This window comes from Homo sapiens, chromosome 18 (genome assembly GCF_000001405.40).
Source record: "Homo sapiens chromosome 18, GRCh38.p14 Primary Assembly".
In the NCBI taxonomy this organism is placed as follows: domain Eukaryota; kingdom Metazoa; phylum Chordata; class Mammalia; order Primates; family Hominidae; genus Homo; species Homo sapiens.
This window is the reverse complement of record NC_000018.10, coordinates 41,966,910-41,988,535: the sequence shown is the minus strand read 5'-3', so window position 1 is coordinate 41,988,535 and position 21,626 is coordinate 41,966,910. Positions and strand designations below refer to the sequence as shown.

At 34.9% G+C, this 21,626-nt stretch overlaps 1 protein-coding gene across 5 annotated transcripts in view; it reads right to left on the bottom strand.

The window, feature by feature from the left end:
- PIK3C3 (phosphatidylinositol 3-kinase catalytic subunit type 3) overlaps positions 1-21,626 on the bottom strand; it is a 132,597-nt gene that overhangs the window by 99,295 nt on the left and 11,676 nt on the right. For 4 of the 5 annotated variants that reach the window (NM_002647.4, NM_001308020.2, XM_047437549.1 and 1 more), the window contains 2 exons: positions 18,080-18,209; positions 638-724 (listed from right to left, as the gene is read on the bottom strand). In NM_002647.4, the coding sequence (NP_002638.2) occupies positions 638-724; positions 18,080-18,209 (217 nt within the window). Of the gene's footprint in view, positions 1-637; positions 725-3,428; positions 3,592-18,079; positions 18,210-21,626 lie in introns of those variants that run through there. The other variant, XM_047437550.1, reaches the window with a different exon arrangement.

The window sequence follows — 21,626 nt, the reverse complement described above, 5'->3', positions numbered from 1 at the left end:
TAATATAATTATTGTTTCTGTTCTCTAGATGTGGAACATTAGGCCTAACATCTGGCATTTTAGAGCAAATATACAAAAAAGTAAACTATTCTTGTTACAACTTTTGGCAGGACTCTCATTGAAGCCATCTTTATTTAAACATACACACTGGCTCACATACAAGGTCAAGAAAAAAATCACCTAAATCATGTAACTTTATAGAGGGTGCGGAGTCCTATATGTAGTACATAGACAAGTAATAAATTAATTGAAGAGAGAACTTGCTGAAATGATTTATGGTAACTGAAGTGAAAAGCTGGCACTGTGCTGATGGAAGATTTATCCAACGCTGACTTGAACATGAGCTGATATGACAGAGAACACACCACTGAGGCATTAAGTCTGCATAGGCTTCACTCATATGATATTTAGAACATCTTTGAATATCCACTACCTACTTCATAGTTTGACATTACGTTAAAATATAGGGAAGGCTGATATCTCCAATTTTCCAGTTATTAGCATAGAATTCCCAGCTACAGGGGTTAACCCTGATAATCCTATATTTGTAAGATACCTAATAATAATTCTTATCAAAAAATTGTTAATTTAAAAATTTACAGAAAATATTTTAAAATAAAAGAGTGATATAACCCACCTCATTTATCATTTCTATTTCTCTAAATGTCAATCTATCCAGCCAATCTACTTTCACCATGTGTCCTTGTCGATGAGCTTTGGTGAGCTGCAGAATAAATACAATGACGAAAATTTTAATATACATCTAGTAGAAAGAAGGACCAAAAATGTCAGAATGGCAATGTACACTTCACATATGATACTTTCCTATACACAATAGAAACCATACGCAATTAGCAGGATAAGAAACTTGGCAAGAGACAAATCATTATTTTTTAAAGAAAAACAATTAAATTTTTTTTAAAAAGGTCCATAATTTGCCATATTTTGACATGATAAAGAATAATGAAGTTGTTCCTGAAATTATCTCCGTGTTCCTATATTTCTTGTATTTTGACTATTACAAAGAGATGAAATTATAATAATAGTTTCATGAATGGGAAATAAACCACTTTTTCTCTTTTCTTCCCATCTTTCAATGTATCTAACCAACATGAAAAAATGACAGTTACAGGTAATAAGGTATTTTTCTGGGTTTGCACATTAATACTCTAAGGTTTAAGCTCACACATATGCATGTATGCTTTAATTTTAGGCAACGGTGATAAAAGACTTCAATTTTCTAGAATAGCAGTTGGTAGAGTCCTGTGAGGTCTTACATACCAATCTAACCTTAGTTTTATAACTTTAATAATTCATTGACTCTTCAAATCCATAGAGAATTCCTGGTAAGTTCCAAGGACCTCAAATTAGAACCAGGTTTTGAATTAGAAACTGTAATACTAAAAATCAACACCCCTCTCATTCCTTCTAAACAAATTGACAGTATAAAGCAAAACTGGACATCAAAGCTTTACATAGTAGCTTATCTATATCAGTTTCTTCTGCTTCATTGTCCATATCATGACAGCTTTCCTATAAGAACAGCAAACACTGCCACCAATTTCATCTCTCTTGCAGAATTAAAAATCTTCACTATCAATCTTCTTTCTCTTCCTCAACTCATCACAACTATGTGGTCATACTATTTCAGAAATAAAAATACTAATGTCACACAAAAAGTCTGAAGTTCATTGTAATAAAAAAAAGTAATATCAATTTAGCTTTCTTCCAATAATTCCCTTTCATGTGAGGTAATTTCTATATGAAAATGTATGAAAAGTTATTAATAAGCTTAGCATGATTACAAAAAGCAGGAACTAAATATCGTGGTGGCTCTGGTGGAATAATAGACAAATATGCTAGCAACATGGAAAGAGACCTAGAAATAGTCACAAGGAAACCAAAAGAAGATCAGACAATGTGACCTACAGAAAAGAGTGCTAGAGTAGGAGCTGGAAGACCAGAGTTCCAACCTTAATACTCCATTTTCAAACTATGTCCTTTCTGAACCCACATCAATAAAATTCAAGTATTAACATCTATTCTTACTCCCAAAACTCAAATAAAGTAATAGATGCAAAATATAACAGGTGGTATTATTTCATGCAGTCATTGGAAGCCTCTATTCTTACTCACTTCGCAATATGCTCCAAACTGGTTTTCAAAATAAATGAAAATGTAAAAGGTCATTTTACATCCTTTGCTTGTACGAACGAAGTAACAGTAAAAATTAGTAATAAGAGTTTATATACTTCCTATAGGAATGGAGAAAAAAATAACATTTATTTACATGCCAAATTATAGGCACTTTTTATAACCACACTATTTTGTAGACTATTTTGACCCCAGTTTGCAGATGACTATCAACTACTACTATGAAGTGGCCAAGCTAGGGTTTAAACCCCAGACTATATGATTCTAAAGCCTATACTCCTACCACCAGTCTGCTATCCTCTCTACTGATGTACTAAGAGCTTTAAGTGAAACTCAATTCTGTCGTTTCTCGAATATTAGTTTTGTATTTATGATACAATAGTTGATCCACTGCTAATTTCCTATGAGCAAAGAACTGGCAATGGTAAATTAAGTTTGGATGTGGGAGAATGTGGTGGGAACTTTTTTCCTCCTTTACTAAAACTATCCAGACAAATTAGAAATGTTCTAAAGCCATTTTCACTAGCTCTAGAATTTATGTTTGCTGCTAATATATATTATCTCCCATATAGCATATGATTAGCTTTCCTATTTGAATACCAAATATGACCTATCTCAATTGTATAAGAGCTACTAAAGAATGTATGGACAGCATGCCAGTACTAAAACTGGTACAGTCACTATGAAAATAAGTTTAAATTATACTAGAGAAATTCACATTTGTGCACCATATTTGCAATACAGAAAAATTAGACACAAAAGAATGAAAATGTTCATCAATAGTGAGAACTGTTAAGTAAACTAGAGTACACACACACTATGAAATGCTATAATCAAAAAGAATGAGAAAAATCTGTATGCCTTCACAGGAAAGATATTGTTGAGTGCAAAACCGATTGCAAAATTAAAGGTACCATTTATGCTATGGAAATTGTTTGCATGTCTGTCTCCTGTACCTGACTTTGAGATTGACAGCAAAAATTCTGTGTATTTCTTTGAGCTAATTTTATGATTTCCACAGAATTGTACAGTTACCACTCAAAATGTCTCCTAGATGCCTGTCCTATTTACCTATTACTACATAACGAACCACCCTAAAACTTAGTGGCCTAAAACGACATTCATTTTATTGTTTCTCATTATCTTTTTTTTGGCAAAATCATCTTCTTGAGAGACATTTAAATAATTTTTTCTTGTAGTCTCACTTATCAGTAGTCATAATATTGTATTCATTGGGTGGTTAGAGCTGGAACATCCAAGCTGGCTTTACTCACATTTCTAACACCTTGGTGATAAAGGGTGGGCTTAGCCGGGATACCAGGGTGGTAGGGCCTCTCTTTCCCCACGTATTCTCAGTGCTGCTCCCTCTCCAAGTGGTTTTTCAACTTGGTCACTCCAACAGAATAGCTGGACTTCTTACATGATGGCTTAATGTTCCTAACATGTGAAGAAACCAAAGCTGTCACGCTGTCTTGCCTGGAACAGACGCAGCATCACTTCTGCTGCATTATAACAGTTAAAATCAGTCACAAGGTAATATAATGTGGAAGAGTGTGACTATCAGAAGGCATATTTCATTGAGGGCCATCCTAAGAGACTAGCTAGCACAGCGCTTACTTATCAGAGAGTCCAAGCAAATAATACAATTAATTGTTCCACTGCAAGGGAGCAGGTGTGTAGAGTTTAGAGATGGCAAAGTCAGCTCTTGGCTGGACTTTAGGCAGCAGAAAAAGTCTAGAACTAGCTATCACAATTGCTAAATGATCCATAGCTGCCTTCCTCTTCAGAATAATCTCCTTCACCTCTCCAACGAACTCACTAAACTCCAGCTAACACAGTCTCTTCTGGCTCTTCAAACCATAAAGCCGTTTACCTTTACTGCTCAATGTAAGTGAAATAATTAGTTATTAATTATATTAAATTTTTTTATTAATTTTATAAAACTATAAAGCACTATGTAAGTTGTAACAGCTATTCTAATTAGCCCATAACCTATGTCACTTCATCTCTTATGGGTGCTGATAACAATGTAGATATACTTGAGTGGTTTTCATCAGTTCAAAGCAACTTCTAGTTATCTCCAATCCACGAACTTCTATAGATACTAAAGACCAAAAATGAACAATAGACACAGGTGGCATAACAATTTATATTTAATTTTGGGTCTGTAATGTCAGTGATTTACATCTTTCCAAAGAGAAAATCTGCATTCTGTTAAGCAGAAAGGTAAAAGTAGGACAAACTGTTTCAATTACTCATGAAGAAATAATCCTCACTAGGATGCCCATTCTAGGATGGGGATAGGTCAAGAAACAGGAAAAAAAAAAATTCATTCTCTCTTTTTAAAGGAACACAGGTTTCTTAACAGAATTCACAGGAAGTCACAAAGAGTTTGGAAGAAAAGTACACTGTCACAAAAAAAAAAAAAAGGCATAATTTAGCCCTAACTTCTCCAAGAATTAAAAAGCAAGGAGTTTTAAAAGCTATTTAAATAAAAGAATCCACAAGAACCAAATAACAACATGCCTGGGAAACTTCTTGGAGTACTAATTCTGTATTGTCAGATTTAATGAAAGAACAAAAAGATGTGTTTGAGGAAGATGTCTCAGATTAGTAGGTGTTTAATAAAAGTATCAAGGACAGAGCCAAAAGTAGGCCAACTTGCTGCACTGTGTAAGAATAAGACCAGCAGGGAAAACAAATTTCAGAGCAGATAGTGATCCTTGGAAATAGACAGACTTCCACGATCATTAGAACTCACAGTTCATTGCTCCGTACTCTTCTCTATTTTACTAGACAAATGAGCTTCTTGAGTATAAGAGCTATGAATGTTCAATAGAAGCTAGCATTTATTCATTCAATGTCTATTTATACTTATTGAAAGGCTTTCTATGTGAAAGGGTGACAGACATAATGGAAAACAAATGTAAGTATACTCTGATATTCTGCCCAAAGAGCTTTGGGGCTTCAGGGGAAGAGGTGGGAGTGACACTAAAAAGGAAGCTGGAGAGAGAAAAAAAAAAAAGATTCCTGCCCTTGGTCACTCTTCCCTAATCTTTATACACTCTCAATACAAATATATGTAACTTGCTGGCTATTAAGTAACAAACTTCCATCATGTCCTCTGTCCTTCAGATGAGCATAGAATGTTGAACAAAAGAAGCAAGTTCTCTGCCCTAACAGAACATCAAGGTGGAAATAAGTGAGTCATTCAATATAGTAAGCACTTAAAAGTGTAACTACAAATTGAAACAGTGATATGAAAGTAATACCTTATGACTGATAACTTGGAAATACAGGATATGAGCAAACCAAGTAAGTTGTCTAAAAACAACTTAAAAATATAATCCTCACTTTTCATTTCAAATAAATAGAAAATGAACCAAGAATTTCAAACATTTTTAATATCCAACCATAGAAGACTGCTGAAATCAATTATGACTTATCTACACTATGCAAAACCCTCCAGCCTTTACAAATTATGTGGTAGAAGTATCTTAAATAACCTGGAACAATTCTGAGACACCATTAAATGTAAAAGCAAGATTCAATTAAGCACACAGATACGGTATGATTCTAATTTTAAAATAAATGTTCACATATTCATCTATAACACACATACATTTATTAATTTACTGAAAGCATATAAACCAAAGTGCTAGTGATTATCTTTGAGTGGTAGGTAGACTGGGGTGACTTTCATAGTCCTCTTTGTGCTTTAACAATATTCTACCACTGTAGAAGATGTATATTATCTTTGTAGTAAGAAAAAATAAAAGTCATTTAAAAGCTAAAGTAATTTAAGAAACAATTAATTGTGGAGAAAGCTCCGTTGGGAAAACCACTAAAGATTAGCCTTTATAAAGATAATGCTAAATAAAGCAATTTCACTTCATAATAAAAGCTCAAAGAATAAAGCCCTATCTCATTAATTTAACTTAACCACCTGAAATAAAATCCAAGTATAAACTTGATTGCTCTCTCACTTTCTTCCAAGGGCCCTTCAACTAGATCCAACTACAAAACCATATAAATTAGAAGATGTTACCATTTTTCAATAGGTGTTTAATAATGTCTGGTACTACTATATACAAAAGACTGTTTTTCCAGTAACCCTTTATATGATTGTACAGGGTTGCATTTTGTCAATTACCTCCCATCTCATTCCTCTAAACTCCCTCAGGTTAAAGGCCATAGCTTAACTCTTTTGACTCTAATGCCTCTCTGAGTCTAAAATAGAACTGAGCTAAATTAATAAATACTTGAAGACAATATCTTTGTCTGCTAATATAGTTGCATGGTGCACTAGAATTATATTACTAAAAAAGTGTAATTCTTCAAAAAAAGACAATAAGCGTCTCAAATCAAATATAAACTATGCAGTACCTTTTTTTTTTTGAGACAGGGTCTCACTCTGTTGCCTAGACTGGAGTGCAGTGGCGTGATCTCGGCTCACCACAACCTCCGCCTCCCAGGCTGAAGAGATTTTCCTATTTTCCTGCCTCAGCCTCCCGAGTAGCTGGGATTACAGGCATGCACCACCATGCCTGGCTAATTTTTTCTTTTTTTTTTTTTTGTATTTTTAGTACAGAAGGGGTTTCACCATGTTGACCAGGCTGGTCTCGAACTCCTGACCTCAAATGATCCACCCTTCTCAGCCTCCCAAAGTACTGGGATTACAGGTGTGAGCCACCAGGCCCGGCCAAGCTATGCCGTAATTTATAACTTCAGACAAAATGCAGTTGTATAAAATAATTTATTTGAACTACTGAGATTAGAAAAAGAATCATGTACGTGTGCATGTTTTAGAGACTTTGCATATGCCTATGTATTTAATTCTTGGCAAGCATAGAAGTTTCTTCTATCTTCCTGATTAATGAAGTCTTGGTCACAAATCTCCAATTTTACTTTCAAACTGTACATGTAAATCTTATTATTCAGGAAGAGTAGTATTTGCTTCATAAAAGTTTCATTTAGTTAAACTTCTTGAAGATAAATCTAGTCTTAAAAGTGTCTTACTATTTTTCTGGCAGAAACTATAACTGTAAAGACAGAAAATAGATTTACAGAACATAAATCAATACTGTTTTAGGGCACTGGCAAAAACTAATTTAGTCTACTTGCTATCATTGGTTTCCAGACAAATCCAAAACTTCTGACAGTCTTAGCAGTAAGCAAACCAAAGTGATTAATAAAACAGAAGGTAGCATTAAAAATAAATTTACGAGATATTCCCAAACGCTTGTTATAACACAATTCAATGGCGACACAGAATCAAAGCAATAAGATATGTTTATAAAAGCTATACCAGATATTTATACAAAAACCTATATCTAGGAGGTATATTTGGTGATATCAATGACATCAATGAATAAATTTGATAGCCTTGAATAATTTCAGCATTTATCATAATTCTGTTGTTTATTATTGTCATTTACAAAACATTCGAGGAAGAAAAAAATATAAGACTCTTCTGCTCAACCCAAATGTTATATCTAGGATCCTATATTTTGATTTGTAAAGTAACAAATGCATTCTTCAACTCTTTAGGACACCGTTTTTCTTCCTCTAAAACACATACATTTAAAAGACGGAAGTTTTCTTTTGTTCCTAGTGATTAAATAAATAAGGGTGTTCTTACTGTTTTTGAGAAAATGAGATTATTTTTACTATAGTCATTATTACAAATGGTCAAGTCCCAATTGTTGTTTTTTGTTTTTTTTTTATTTACAGAGACAAAGTTTCATCATGTTGCCCAGGCTGGCTTCGAACTCCTGAGCACAAGTGATCCTCCTCCATCAGCCTCCCAAAGTGAATTGTTTTATATTGTGGGTAAAAAGTAAATGTAATATACATACATATTAACAGAACACTGTCTATATTTTGTATATTCATTTACCTAAATGGGGTAATGGTTACATCATTAGGGATGATAGATTCACCCTCCTAAATTACTATACTTAGTCTAATATTGCACTGCATGTACTGTAGACATCATAACTAAGGGCAGTTGATTAGAAAATAGAAAACCGAAGATTATCAAGCTACTTGAGCTATAACCTAAATCATTAAGTGATTCAGCTATGGAGAAAGGACACTTTCTTTATGTGATATACCTAACCAAGTGAAGACTTAACCAAGTATAGATATTTCTTACAAAGAATACAAACTTCCCAAGAAAAGTGCTAACATATATAATCAATTGAAAGCAATTTTAGGAACTTAAGTGTTAAATTCTGAAAACAATAAATTATGTAACAATAATAAGGGGAAAAGATCACTAATAGGTCCTTCTAAACAATTTATTCTGTTAAAGTAATTTGATCCAGAATGTCAGTTTATTCATCAACATTATTTCACATAATTTATTCAAGGCGGAAGGAAGTGTATTCAGAATCCAGGAGAAGTACACTTAATCAGCTTGCTGTAATTTATAAACAAAATAGTCTGAGGTTAATTTTCCTTTTCAGAATAGCTAATAATAATAATAATAATAATAATAATAATGGCATGATTCCTATAATTAGCAGAGATAATGGAGATCTGACCACATTTTAACAATGAAAAATACCCAGGAATACAGAAACAGCTAGCTATTCAATAAGCTGCCATCAGTGAGAGCTGTAATTCAGGAATCTTGACTGTCAGTCTTCAACCCCAGTTATAATGTATCTCATTATTATTTAAATCTTTCATCAGTTTTTATAGTTCTACTAATCTTAAAAGCGTAAAATAAAACATAATGCCTTCATTTTTCAAAACACCTCCTCCTTGGATACTTTAATGTTTCTCATTTCTCCAAAATCTAACTACAAAATATCATTACGTGGGTACAGGTTTAGAAATTCATATAAATCATCAATTTGATAACCCATTATAGGATTTGTAATAAGAACTGATGTCCACTATATAATAAAAATCACTTCTTAAATCATATCTCTAAAATCCAAAACATTGACTGATCTTAGTCTTTCAGAGATAACATGCAAGTATATTCACATCTCTAGCGGGAAAAATGCAGCTCTAAAAAGCCCATTTCCGAATGAGAGTTTAGGGATTTTACTGGGAGCTGGTCACAAAGGCAATCTCTGCCTTACAACTACCAAAATTTTAGACTTCCAGAAAGAGAGCAAGTGCTCATCATAAATCACATGTGGAAACAGTCTAGACACAGTGAAACATCTGTATCAGTTAGGAATTGTTTCAGAAGCTCAGTTCTCAGACATCAGCCAAGGGCCAACCTTGCAAGCAGGCCCTTCTAAGCACAGCAGCCTTAGGCCTGCTATGTGAACTCTTTTTTTTTTTTTTTTTTTTTTTAAGAGACGGGGTCTCTTATGTTACTCAGCCTGGTGTCAAACTCCTGGACTCAAGCAATCCTCCTGCCTCAGCCTTCCATGTAGCTGAGTGGCTGAAACTACAGGTGCACACCAACATGCCTAGCTAGTAACTCTTCTACATGTAAAATTAAAAGGGAAAAAAGGTAAGATCAAAAGAATCCCAATTTTTTCTTTCTGGGGGGTAAGTTTCAATATTCATTCATCATGTAAATGTTAAAACCCTGACAGTTAACTTTCCAGGACTAGGAAAACTGAATAGATCAATGAGTGCCTTTTTGCTACCCTTCTCAACAATCTTGGTTTTCAATTACTACTTAACTAAATTATTTGGCTAACTCTCCTAGGCTGAAGGGCACTTGGATGAAGATTATAACTCAACTAAATCAATTCAGTGTCTAACACAGGCTTACTTCTTCAATGTGCGTTTAATGCATTCAAAAGAAAGAAAATTTTAAAATATTGTTATATTTAGGGATTTTTCCTTTCAAATTTTAATCCAAGACCTTCTTTAGTCCATGCCAAATTGTCCCCTTGAGAATGGGACCAAAAGAACCAAAGAACCCCTTGGTCCTTTTGGGTTATCTTCCCTTATAGGTTCTCAATTGAATGGAACATCTTGCCTTTCTCAAACTTTGTGAGAACTGACATATCCCTAACTTGGTCCATTATCGCACTCCTTGATTATAATTGCAATCCCAAAGTATAATGTGACATCTTTAGTTTTTTCCAAAATTCCTGTTACTCCCTTTTCATTAATCACTTCTTTTATAGTGGTGTAAATTAGCCTAGAGGTCCAGCATGGTGGCTTATGCCTGTAATCCCAGCAGTTTGGGAGGCTGAGGCAGGAGGACTGCTTGAGCCTAGGAGTTTGAGACCAGCATGGGCAACCAAGTGAGGCACCATCTCTATATAAAAGAAACTATTCAAACATGGTGGTGCACAACTGTAGTTCCTGCTCCTCCAGAGGATGTGGGAGGATCACTTGAGTCCGGGAGACTGAGGCTGCAGTGAGCTGTGAGTGTGCCACTGCACTCCAGCCTGGGAAAAAAGGCGAGACCCTGTCCCCAAAACAAACAAACAAACAAAAACAAACAAAAAATTGGTCTAGAGAAGCAGTGTCCTTTTTTCCTCAAACTTCTGAAAAATAATCCTGTGATCAAGTCAATAATCTGACAAAAGCCTGAGCTGAATGAATGAGACTTCGTTACCATCATAGCTGCATCATTTTTTGTGATCACACAAAGAAAATAGCCATTTCTGGCCCAGGCATGGTGGCTCACACTTCTAATTCCAATGCTTTGGGAGGCCGAGGCGGGTTGATCACTTGAGGTTAGGAGTTCGAGACCTGCCTGGCCAACATGGTGAAACCCTGTCTCTACAATTACAAAAATTAGCCGGGCATGGCGGCACGCACCTGTAATCCCAGCTACTCAGCAGGCTGAGGCAGAGAATCGCTTGAACCCAGGAGTTGCAGTGAGCCGAGATTGCACCACTGCACTCCAGTCTGGACGACAGAGTGAGACTGTGTCTCAAAAAAAAAAAAATACACATATATCTATATAGCCACTTCCTCTCATGGCTCTAAAACGTTTCCGCAATTTTGCAGCATCTGTTGTACGTCTCTTGTATACTTACTAAGGGGTTCTCTCATATGTTTGTACACTGAGGTTCCTATCCTATTAATAGTTCCTTTGAACAACATACACCTTTTTCAGTAATGTTTCCTTTCCTCCTAGGCCTTTGTCCTTTGAGGTTGCACTGACTATGATGAAATAAATCTTAAGATCTACTGTTTTTTTAATTGCTTTTGAAGTATGTATTCGTAACAACTGAAGCCATATATCATTCATAACTCCAATTCTTTCATAGCATAGATATGTAATGGGTGCTTACCATAGGCAGGTCACTGTTTACTGACTTAACGGGCATCATCTTTTATGCCATACTTGAGGACCTGCAGTGTAGACACTGCTTCATATTCTATCTACCTTTTCTCCTATTTTCAATTTTAATCTTCTAAATAAGAACAATACATTCTTCATGCAAACACATTCCTCTCAATCCTCAGATCTTAAGCATATGTCACTGATACTTATTTTGGAAGAGATTTCCATAAAGAATTTAAAGACGTGGTTTTAGGTGCTGGTTCTGCAAGTTACCAAATATGTAACCATAAATAAACAGCTTAACTTCTCTACGCTTTCATCTTTTCATGAATTTAAAAACAATGTAGTGCATAAGTCCCAATCCTACACTTGTCAGACTCAAATAAAAGCAAGTAAAAAAAGTAATAACAACAGCTAACATTTATTAGTGCTCAGTATTTGCTGAGCAGTATGCTAAATCCTTTAAACATTTTATCATTTACACTTAGTCTTCACAATAATCTCCAAAAACAGATATAACTACTATTCCTACTTTACAGAAGAGGATTTCATGACTTAGTAAAGGTTAAATAGCTAGTTCAAGATCACAGCTGGGATTTGAATAAAAAATGGTCTCTAAAGCCATGATCTTAATCCCTTCTCTATTTTAGTTTGCAATCTATGCTAAGAGGTTTTGTTGATATTAAAGCACTTTACACATACAAGGTGATTATAAATGTAGTTACTATTATTAGTCATAATAACACTAACAATAATGACATCAGGAACTTAGTAATACAATTTTTTTTTTTTTTGGTCTTCAACATTTAGAAGTGTGCCTTTGACAATGGTGAAGATGAAAGAGGACTTCTACATGTACATAAAACTAAAATCTCAGGGAGCTCCTCTAATCAATGCTCTAGGACAAGTACCCATTTGATGCAATAGATTAATGCAAAATACTTTCTTTCAAGGGTAAATATTATAGTGGGTCAAACTACTTCAATCCCACTTTAGAAAATTAATTATGTGACCAGAAAATTCCTTGCTATCTTAATCTTGATTTTCAAGGATTATTTTGGGATTGTGATAATTTGTCAACGTTTATTCAAAAGATGCAGTACAACCAGCATATTCAAGTAAATTTAAATTAAAAGGATACTATAAAGAAAGTCCTTTTGGCCAGGCGTGGTGGCTCACGCCTGCAATCCCAGCACTTTGGGAGGCCAAGGCAGGCAGATCACGAGGTCAGGAGTTCAAGACCAGCCTGGCTAACACAATGAAGCCCCATTTCTACTAAAAATACAGAAAAATTAGCCAGGCATGATGGCGGGTGCCTGTAGTCACAGCTACCTGGGAGGCTGAGGCAGGAGAATGGCATGAACTTGGGAGGTGGAGCTTGCAGTGAGCTGACATCGTGCCACTGCACTCCAGCCTGGGCGACAGAGCAAGACTCCATCTCAGAAAAAAAAAAAAAAAAACAGTCCGTTTTAGATTTCCCAAAACTGAGAAAAATATCTGAGAAACCTTTCCAGCTCCTTCATGGTTCACTAAGAAATCAACAATATCATGAAGACTACTTACATTTCCAAAGTATCTTGAAATACGGTGTCCTAGATAGCAGGCACAAGTAATATGGTTACCAGAAAGATGTACTCACCCACCACAAATTTGTAAATTGGCACTCTAGATCAATGCTGTCAGTAGAACTTTTGGCAATAATAGAAACGTTCGACATGTGCACTGTCCAATAGATATCTTGTAGCCACCAGGGGCGTCTAAGCATTTGAAATGTAGTTAAAGTGACAGAGCAACTGAATTTTTAATGTTATTTCATCTTAATTAACCTAAATCTAAATTGCTACATGCGACTTGTGGCTCTGATATTAGACACTGCAGCTCCAGATTATAAATGACTCTTTGAAGTGGTTGGCATGAACCTATTCTCAAGAAACAATAACTAAATGAACTTAAAAAATCCAGCTCCTATTTAAACCTGAGATCTAGACCCTGGACCCACAGTGACGCCACACAGGCACTCTGTGGTTCAGCCTGAAACACCACCACATCTTACCACATCTTCCCTGCAACAGTGTTCACCTCTATACTCTACTCAACAACATTCCCATACCTATCTGTGTCACACAGAGTACAAAGCATTTTTCATCTAGTTGTTACTTTCTCTTTGCCTCCTCTTAATCAAACTGACAGAAACTAAAGCACATTCCAAAGGCATCAAGCAGAGCTGCTAAAATGAAAAGGAGACAGTGGAGAAGCATGCTTTTGCACTAACCTTTCATGTCTAAAGACATGGATTCAAATATAAATCAAACACTAAAGCTTGGTAGTCACATCCAAAACCCCAGGTGGATATGCATTCTAGTCATAAAACTCTTATAATATGACAAGCTGAAAAACAGAGCAGATGGGAACAATGGGTAAATTTGCTCAAGTAAGGCCCACAGCCACCAAAAGCCTGGGTCATGGACAAGGAAAGTTTAATAAATGCTCTAGAAGTCTGGTCTTTTATTATTTTCACAAATCAATTCAAACGGAAAGACACTATACTAAAAATTAATTAGGGAAACTTAGAAATGGGAAAAAGAAGAAAATGGGGCAGGGGGTGGGGGGGTAATAGTGTATTTAAATTATTCATTTCTTTCATTCCCTACTAGAAGTCTAAGAAATTCAAGTTATAAAAAATAAAAATTAAGGAAAATGATTATGTTTCCTTTTTTCATACTCATTTTTCCTTAAAGCAAAACTAGGCATGTTCACAAAATCAGGTAAAATCATGAGAGAGGTTAATTCCGCTAAATTCATCCTGAAAGAACTGGACTTTTAAAAACTCTCAAACTTGAAAAGCAGGCTTTCAAACTTCAGCTATTCATACTGTAATTAGAATTCAACTGTAATAGGTGAGCAATAAATCAGAAGAGGGTTAAGTCTGGCTTGTAGTGGAAGTTCTTTGCTTAATAATTATCTAACACCGTCTTTTCACAGGCCATTAAATAGTTAATCTTCATTTCACAGTCCTCTTGTCCATTATCCCTAGACAATCAAGACTGAAGTAGTTCTATAAGTGAGTAAACTCTCTCATACTGCAGTTTGAAAACTGTTACTACTATGCTACTTATTTAGGCTCATGGGTACCATGCATAGTAAAAATGCTTTGCTATTATTAAGATTTATGTATATCTTTTTAGTCTTAAGCCAACTGTCTTCTCAAAAATTAGAAACAATCATAGTAAATTCACTGGATGGAAAATAAAAGTTGCAACAAGAAATAAACCATTTGGTTCTAACTACTTAACCCTCATCTATTTGAATACTAATTTTTTTTCTTAAAATGGTAGCGTGAGAAATACAGACATTACATCTACCATCTCTGTTCCTTCTGTATGAAAATGGAAGCAGGAGGCATACAAATACTTTCCCATGTTTAAAAGTTTATTATACCTAATACAATTTCAAAACGTTTTGAGAAAGAGAGTGACAATCTAACTGAACAACTTTTTAAAATGTGTCATCAGAAAAAGAGTGAAAGACAGCAGACACTATTGTGGCACAACTGTAAGAACAAGTTAAGTATCTAAGCATAATTTTAAGAATTTAAGAATAATAATAATAAATTCAGTCAAAATAATTTTAAGTTAAGAATATAATTTTAAGAATGTAAGTACCGAAGTATACTCTCTCCGGTAAGTTAGTAAATTAACTAACTTAATTAATTAATTAACTAAAGAGTAAGAGAGTAAATTAAGACCATACAAGTATCAAAATATATTTTCTCAAGTATAAGGCAAGACCATGTTTTAGGTGAGGAAAGAGTTGTTTTTCAGGAAGCCTCTCTAAAAATTTAAGAAGCAAGCACTAATCAAACAACAAAATTAAGAGCAAAGCCCCATTATTCACATTAGGCAAGCCCTATGTAACACTTTACCCTAGGCATACACATTGCAGAAAAAAAGGAATGACCTGCAAACAATACATTCAAAGTTGCAAATTAATAATCACAATTTTATTCCCTAGTAAGATAATAACTATGAAACCCAGGTAGATAATCCCAATTATTTCCTATATCAGTACTTTTAGAATCAATTAAAGAGCTACATGAGACCATAAAAATCATCCATTCTAAACACCTGATTTTGCAAACTCAAAAATTATTTTCCCCAAGTTAGCAGAATGGCCAAAACTCTGACTCGCAGTACAGTGCTCTTCCCACTATAATGCATTTCCAAGTGCCCAACCTTCCAATTTTGTCAAATCTTAAGACATCATTTTTAAAACATTTCTCTTCAATAGCAGCTGGGATATACAACAGTTCTGAAACCTCAAAAACCACAAGCAACTGCTATATCAAGAAGAGGGGAATATCGAGTTAGCACAATACATCAAAAAATAAAAAGAGCTTCCTTCAAAGAGGGAGCAATTCCTTAACAAAGCTACAAACAGGACACATTTTTCCCCTTAAAAAAGTAATTACTCATTTTGATGGTTTCTGTTTAGTCTTTGGGGAACATAAGTTAATACTAATGCAAGCTGTCACAGCACGGCAAGCTCAGATGTCTCCACTCCATTCAGAAGTTAAAAGTACAATTCTATTAGGGATGAAAGAATGTGGAAAAGAGCTAGGCTCCAATTACTATCAGGAGGACTGTAAGCTGCTCACTCTCATTAATTTTTATTCCCATTTTAAAGATTTACAAACCAATAAAAACTTATCTGAAAACTGCTAACCATTCTGAACAATACAAACAGCACATAAATTTTAATAACTATCTCTTGAAAAAGTAGGATCCACTTGGCTACTCTAAGGAATTTAAACTGGGGATAATGATTGCTACCAATTAACAAAAACATTAAGAAGGCTTCTTTCCTACACCTCATTGAGCTCTGCACATGCTTAGTCATCATTTCTAGAGTTGTTAATGTGCACAAATAACTAAAAGACAAATATGAACAAGCATGAAGGGTTACTGTTTCAATCATAAAAAAGGTGATCATTAAGTCACATCTTTTTTCTAGTATAAAATTCAAAAGATTAAAATGAAAAAGATATACTATTAACGTTGTGCTACATTAAAAAACCAGCAGTCCAACTGGGACTAATTCCAATGATTATACTCCATACACCGATGCCTGAAAAATGTCATAGTTGTTACAAAAATTATTTTTTAAACCTTCCATCAAAAAGAATTAGGGAAAAAAATTAGAAACCTAACTTTTTAGGTGAACAGAAGCCTAAATAATGTGTTTAACAGAGAAACAATGTAGTTACACTGTGCAACTATAAAGCTTTATATTTCTTGACTCTGGCCATTCCCCCTCAGACTTAGAATTTCACCTACAATATGAATCATAATGGCTACTCTTAAAAGACAATTTAAGAGCTTTTTTAAAAATATTATTCTTTATTCTTTTTTAATTTAACCTTTTTCATATTATAGTGACCCACAGGCTATAAATGAATTGATTCTAATAAAATTTATATTAACTATTCAAGGTTTGTAAAAGGGACAGAGAGTAGCTCAAATGAAAGATCATCACTAAGATAAAGTCTTAAAGGTAGACATATGAAAAGCTTGAGACCTTTCCTATATCCCACGTCAGAATGCAAACAAAATCTCAGAATGAGTAGAAGAAATGAATATTAAATTTTATTTAATTATGGATGGGAGAAGCAGACAATAGTATATTGGTCAATATAGTTATCAGGTTGCTACAACACCATTTTTCCTTAAAAGAGCAATACAAAAGACAAAATGAACTTGACAAAAATTCTGTGTTGAAGCATGAAGCCTAGCCAACCCAAGTACTTATTCTTGAAGATTTCTTCTATATGTGGGTAAAGGCAACAAGCTGTTAAAAGCTTAGCAACAAAACTTCCTCCAGACATTAAAGAGGCACTCCTACTAATAAGATTGCAAAAAAAAAGTATGTATTATAACTACAAGAAAGTGTCCTAATCAGATAACTGTAAAGGGATCCTTAAACAGTATCTAACACAGTGCTTTGTGAAAGGAAGTTCACAAAATAAATGACAGCGTTGCAATTAATGCACGGAATAGAATTTAGTTTTTATATTTCTAAGTGAAAACACTTGATTAAAACAATTTTGAAAGAAAAAGGTAATAACTTCATTTGCTTACAAAGAAACTTTATACTAGTTAATTGTCTGAGTCATCTTCACTTCCAAGTGGCATAAGCTTCTCTAGAATGTTACACTAACAACTTTAAGGCTATGTCACCAGAAAAAGTGGGTGGTCATCTTGAAAATATCACCAACGCTCCACATTTTCAAACCTGACAGATTTCCAGACATAAGGTCACATACTGAATGATTCCATTTATATGAAATTTCCAGAACAGGCAAATCCATACAGATAGTAAGTAGATTAGTACTTGCCTGGAACTAACTGCAGGGAGCAGAAAATGGGAGTGACTGTTAATGGTGCGGTTTCTTTTAGGGGTGATGAAAAAATTCTAAAATTATATAGTGGTGATGATTATACAAGTCTGTAAATTTACTAAACCATCAGACTGTATGCTTTCCAAGGGTGAACTTTATGGTATGTGAATTATATCTCAATAAAACAATTATTTAAAAGTTAAGATTTAGATTTTTTAAAAATCTGACAGAGTTCATAATGTCAAGGTATATATACTACAATAGACATCAGTCAGAGCTTTGCACCTGTTCCAAATGACTTTTTTTACCTTGGCAAGACGGCTCATCTGATCTTCTGAGAGAGTGCTACTTGTTCTGCCAGGAGTTTTTGTGGGTTCTGATCCATCTGCTTCTACATTAGGCCAGACTTTCAAGTCATGCATCCCTTGGCGAAACATGCTAGGGAAAAAGAGAATGTTCAGGGTAGAAGTAAATTAATACAGTTCATTACAGGAAATTTTAGATTCCTAAAAATAAAGAGAATTCTATACATGGAAATGTATATCTCCACTGCCAAGCTTTAAGCCCCCAATGGAATGTAAAGCAATTAACCAAGCAACTAAAATCCATGTCACACTGCTTTGCACATGCCATTCTTTTCTCCTCCAAGCGCTCAGAACTATGACAGAGAATTCTACACAGAGAGTGGAAGGAGAGAAGGATGAGAAATGAGCACACACATTTCATCACTTTGGTGAAGATCTAAGGAATAACAGAGATCAAATTCCTAACCAACTGAAGAATGCCACATTTACAATGACTAAAATCAAAATTTAAATAATTACATAACTGTTTTCTTTAAATGACATTACAGTAGACTATATAGTCAAACTGCCTGTACTTGAATCACAGCTGTGCTATTACCCACATAACCTAGGGTAAACTACTTAACCTCTCTGTACCTCGGTTTCCTCTTTTATAAAATAGGATAAAAGGACTTGTATCCCACAAGGTAACTGGAAAAATTAAATAAATCAATACAAGTAAAAAGTACTTAGAACAGTGGCTGGCATACAGTTAGTATTCAATAAATGTTAGCTATTACTAGTCTTTTTGCTGTACAAATTGATTTCTCCTTTCTTTTCCATAAAAGGCATGTTCTAAAAGTGAATACAATAGTAGATTCATACAAAAACATTTCCCATGTCTATAAATCAGAAATTTAGCACATAGCCAGAATTCAGCCTAAGTTTGGTTATCCTGCTTCAAAGTGAAACAATATATAACCTTTGTCTTGTTTTTGTCAAAAAGCTACCAAGAACATATAAAGATGAAACAAACTCATAAAGAGCTTTAGATAACTATGTGTTTTAATTATGCTGCTGCCAAGTTCCCATGTTTCTTTCTGATGGGGAGGTTAAAGATGTTCTTCTGTTAATGCGGTTTCTTTTCAAAAAAATATTTTTGAACAAGAATTTTCAAACATAAAGTCTACTCAAACAGCATCTACTCAAAGCTCAATAAGTTATTTCTTACTCTTAGAAATAAAAAGACTATAGAAATTACAATAGAAAGAAAAAAACTAGAAGTGTGTGTAGATGGACAGGCAAATCTAAAGCATTTCATACATTTTCACATTTAATACTTTAAAAAAAAAACAAGGTACAGACTGGGCATGGTGGCTCACACCTGTAATCTCAGCATTTTGAGAGGCTGAGGCAGGCAGACCACTTGAGCTCAAGAGTTTGAGACTAGCCTGGGCAACATGGCGAAACCCCATCTCTAAAAAATAAAAAAAAAAACTAAAATTAGGTGGGTACAGTGGCATATGCCTGTAGTTTTTAGGGGGCTGAGGCAGGAGGATTGCTTAAGCCTGGGAAGACCAGGCTATAGTGAGCCATGTTTGCACCACTGTACTCCAGCCTGGGTGAGAAAGTGAGACCCTGTTTCAAAACTTAAAAAAAAAACAACAAAAAAAAATTGTCTCCTTAACTGCTAACGGTTTACATAAATTTTTTCAAATCATTATTATAATGTTCTGGCTAATAAAAACTTTCTTCATAGATTTTCCTAAGGTAATAAAGATTTTCACTCAACATTATATAATGTGTATAAGTAATGATGCCATAAACATTTAGATTGGGAACTATAAAAGACAGCTACAAACTCATGAGCACAATAAGATCAAAGACCATATCTGTTAAAAGGTCTCTAAAGTTGGCAATAAAACAGATAATTCTAGTAACTGTATTTGCAAAAGCTTACCTTATGGACCCATACAAAATGCATTGACTAGCTGTGATAAATCAAAATTCTCAATATTTATTTATCATGTTAAACATCAAAAGAAAATTACAGTACAAAAACCACATATATACATGTCTCTTATAAAGTTAATTTTCTTTCTCTTTCAACTGAGATATAGATTCAACATTAAGCAGGCCTGCTTAGAGCAGTCTCTAAGGAACTACGTACAGTGAGATGATAATATCACTTTAAATAAATATCCTTAAATGTACCTTCAGAAATAGCAGAAGGCTTCCCTTCCTTCTCTCTACCTTCCCATCCCCCAGTGAATACTTTGGCTGGCTGAACTAAATCAAAAATAAGCACATTTGGCAAGAAGTCAGTTTACTAAATGATTTAGGTGCCTTGGGATGGATCTAGAGAAGAGATTTAAGGATAGGGGACGTGGAGGGTATGGGTGATGCCAAGTGACTCAAATGAGCAAGTGAACATATTACTTTCTTTTGACACTAATGGAACTTTGCAGAGTTACACAGCCTCCAGGTGGCAAGGCAGAAGATGCTCAGAGCATCGTGTCCACTTGGGAAATTAAGCCAAACAGGCGAGAGAGAAGAAACAGCACAGCAGGATCTCCTTCTGACTCCAGCAGAGGCCCCAGCAACAGCTGCTGTTGATATTCCAGCTTGCAGTGCCAAGCCACTACAGCACCAACTGCCTTGACTTCCAGGATTCACATTTAGAAAAAACAACTGCAAGAGAAATCTACAGCTTGCATGTGGTTCTTTGCCAGGTCAACCTAACAATCAATCCATTCTTTAGCTACTTTGAAATTTCATATGCTAGACTTCCAAATTAAGGACGACAAATTATTCTAGCCTTATCCCTAACAAATCAGTATTTCAATTATTAATTAGACTATTCTCCAAGAAGTTCTGCCTCATACTGACTCATGTAAACAAAACAGATATTAGCAAACAGCAAGAGCTGATAGTCACAAGATTACCAATACTACAATACTACAATACTAGATGTCTTGAGGATCACTTTTAACAGCTACTAAGTACACATCAGAACCCTTTAGGGGAAAAGGCGAGGGATGGTTGGTGTTATTTCACTGCATAAGAAACATCTGAGAAAACTATGGTTAAAGGCAGCGTTTCCCTAAGTTATGAGAATGGTAGTGGCACATGGCATGGTTTTTGAGGACAGGTGGAAGAAAATCTGCACGCGCTTCTTGCTGAGACCACCCAGAATACTCATATTGCCCTGACTCCCTGGATGGCAGCACCATGCAAGGAAGTAGCTGTGAGCCAACAGCATAAGGAGATGTCTGCACTCTGCTGTAGCACCAGGAACATCCTGAACATCATCTTTCACAATCCAAAGCTGCACAAGAAGACCTGTAGCTGCTTAGGACTAGGAAATGCCTGGCTTTTCTCCAATGCGAGGCAGCTCACCCACATGGCAAGGCTACAGGACAGAGAGGAAAAAAAAAAAGTTGTTTTAATTTCATAGGGTTTCTTAGAATTCCTTCTTCTGAGGTGAAGGTCAGTACAAGCGCCAGTACAGGGGGAACAGGAGTTGGTGATTTAGTCTTTTTGCACTCCACCCCCTCAAAATATCTTAGAC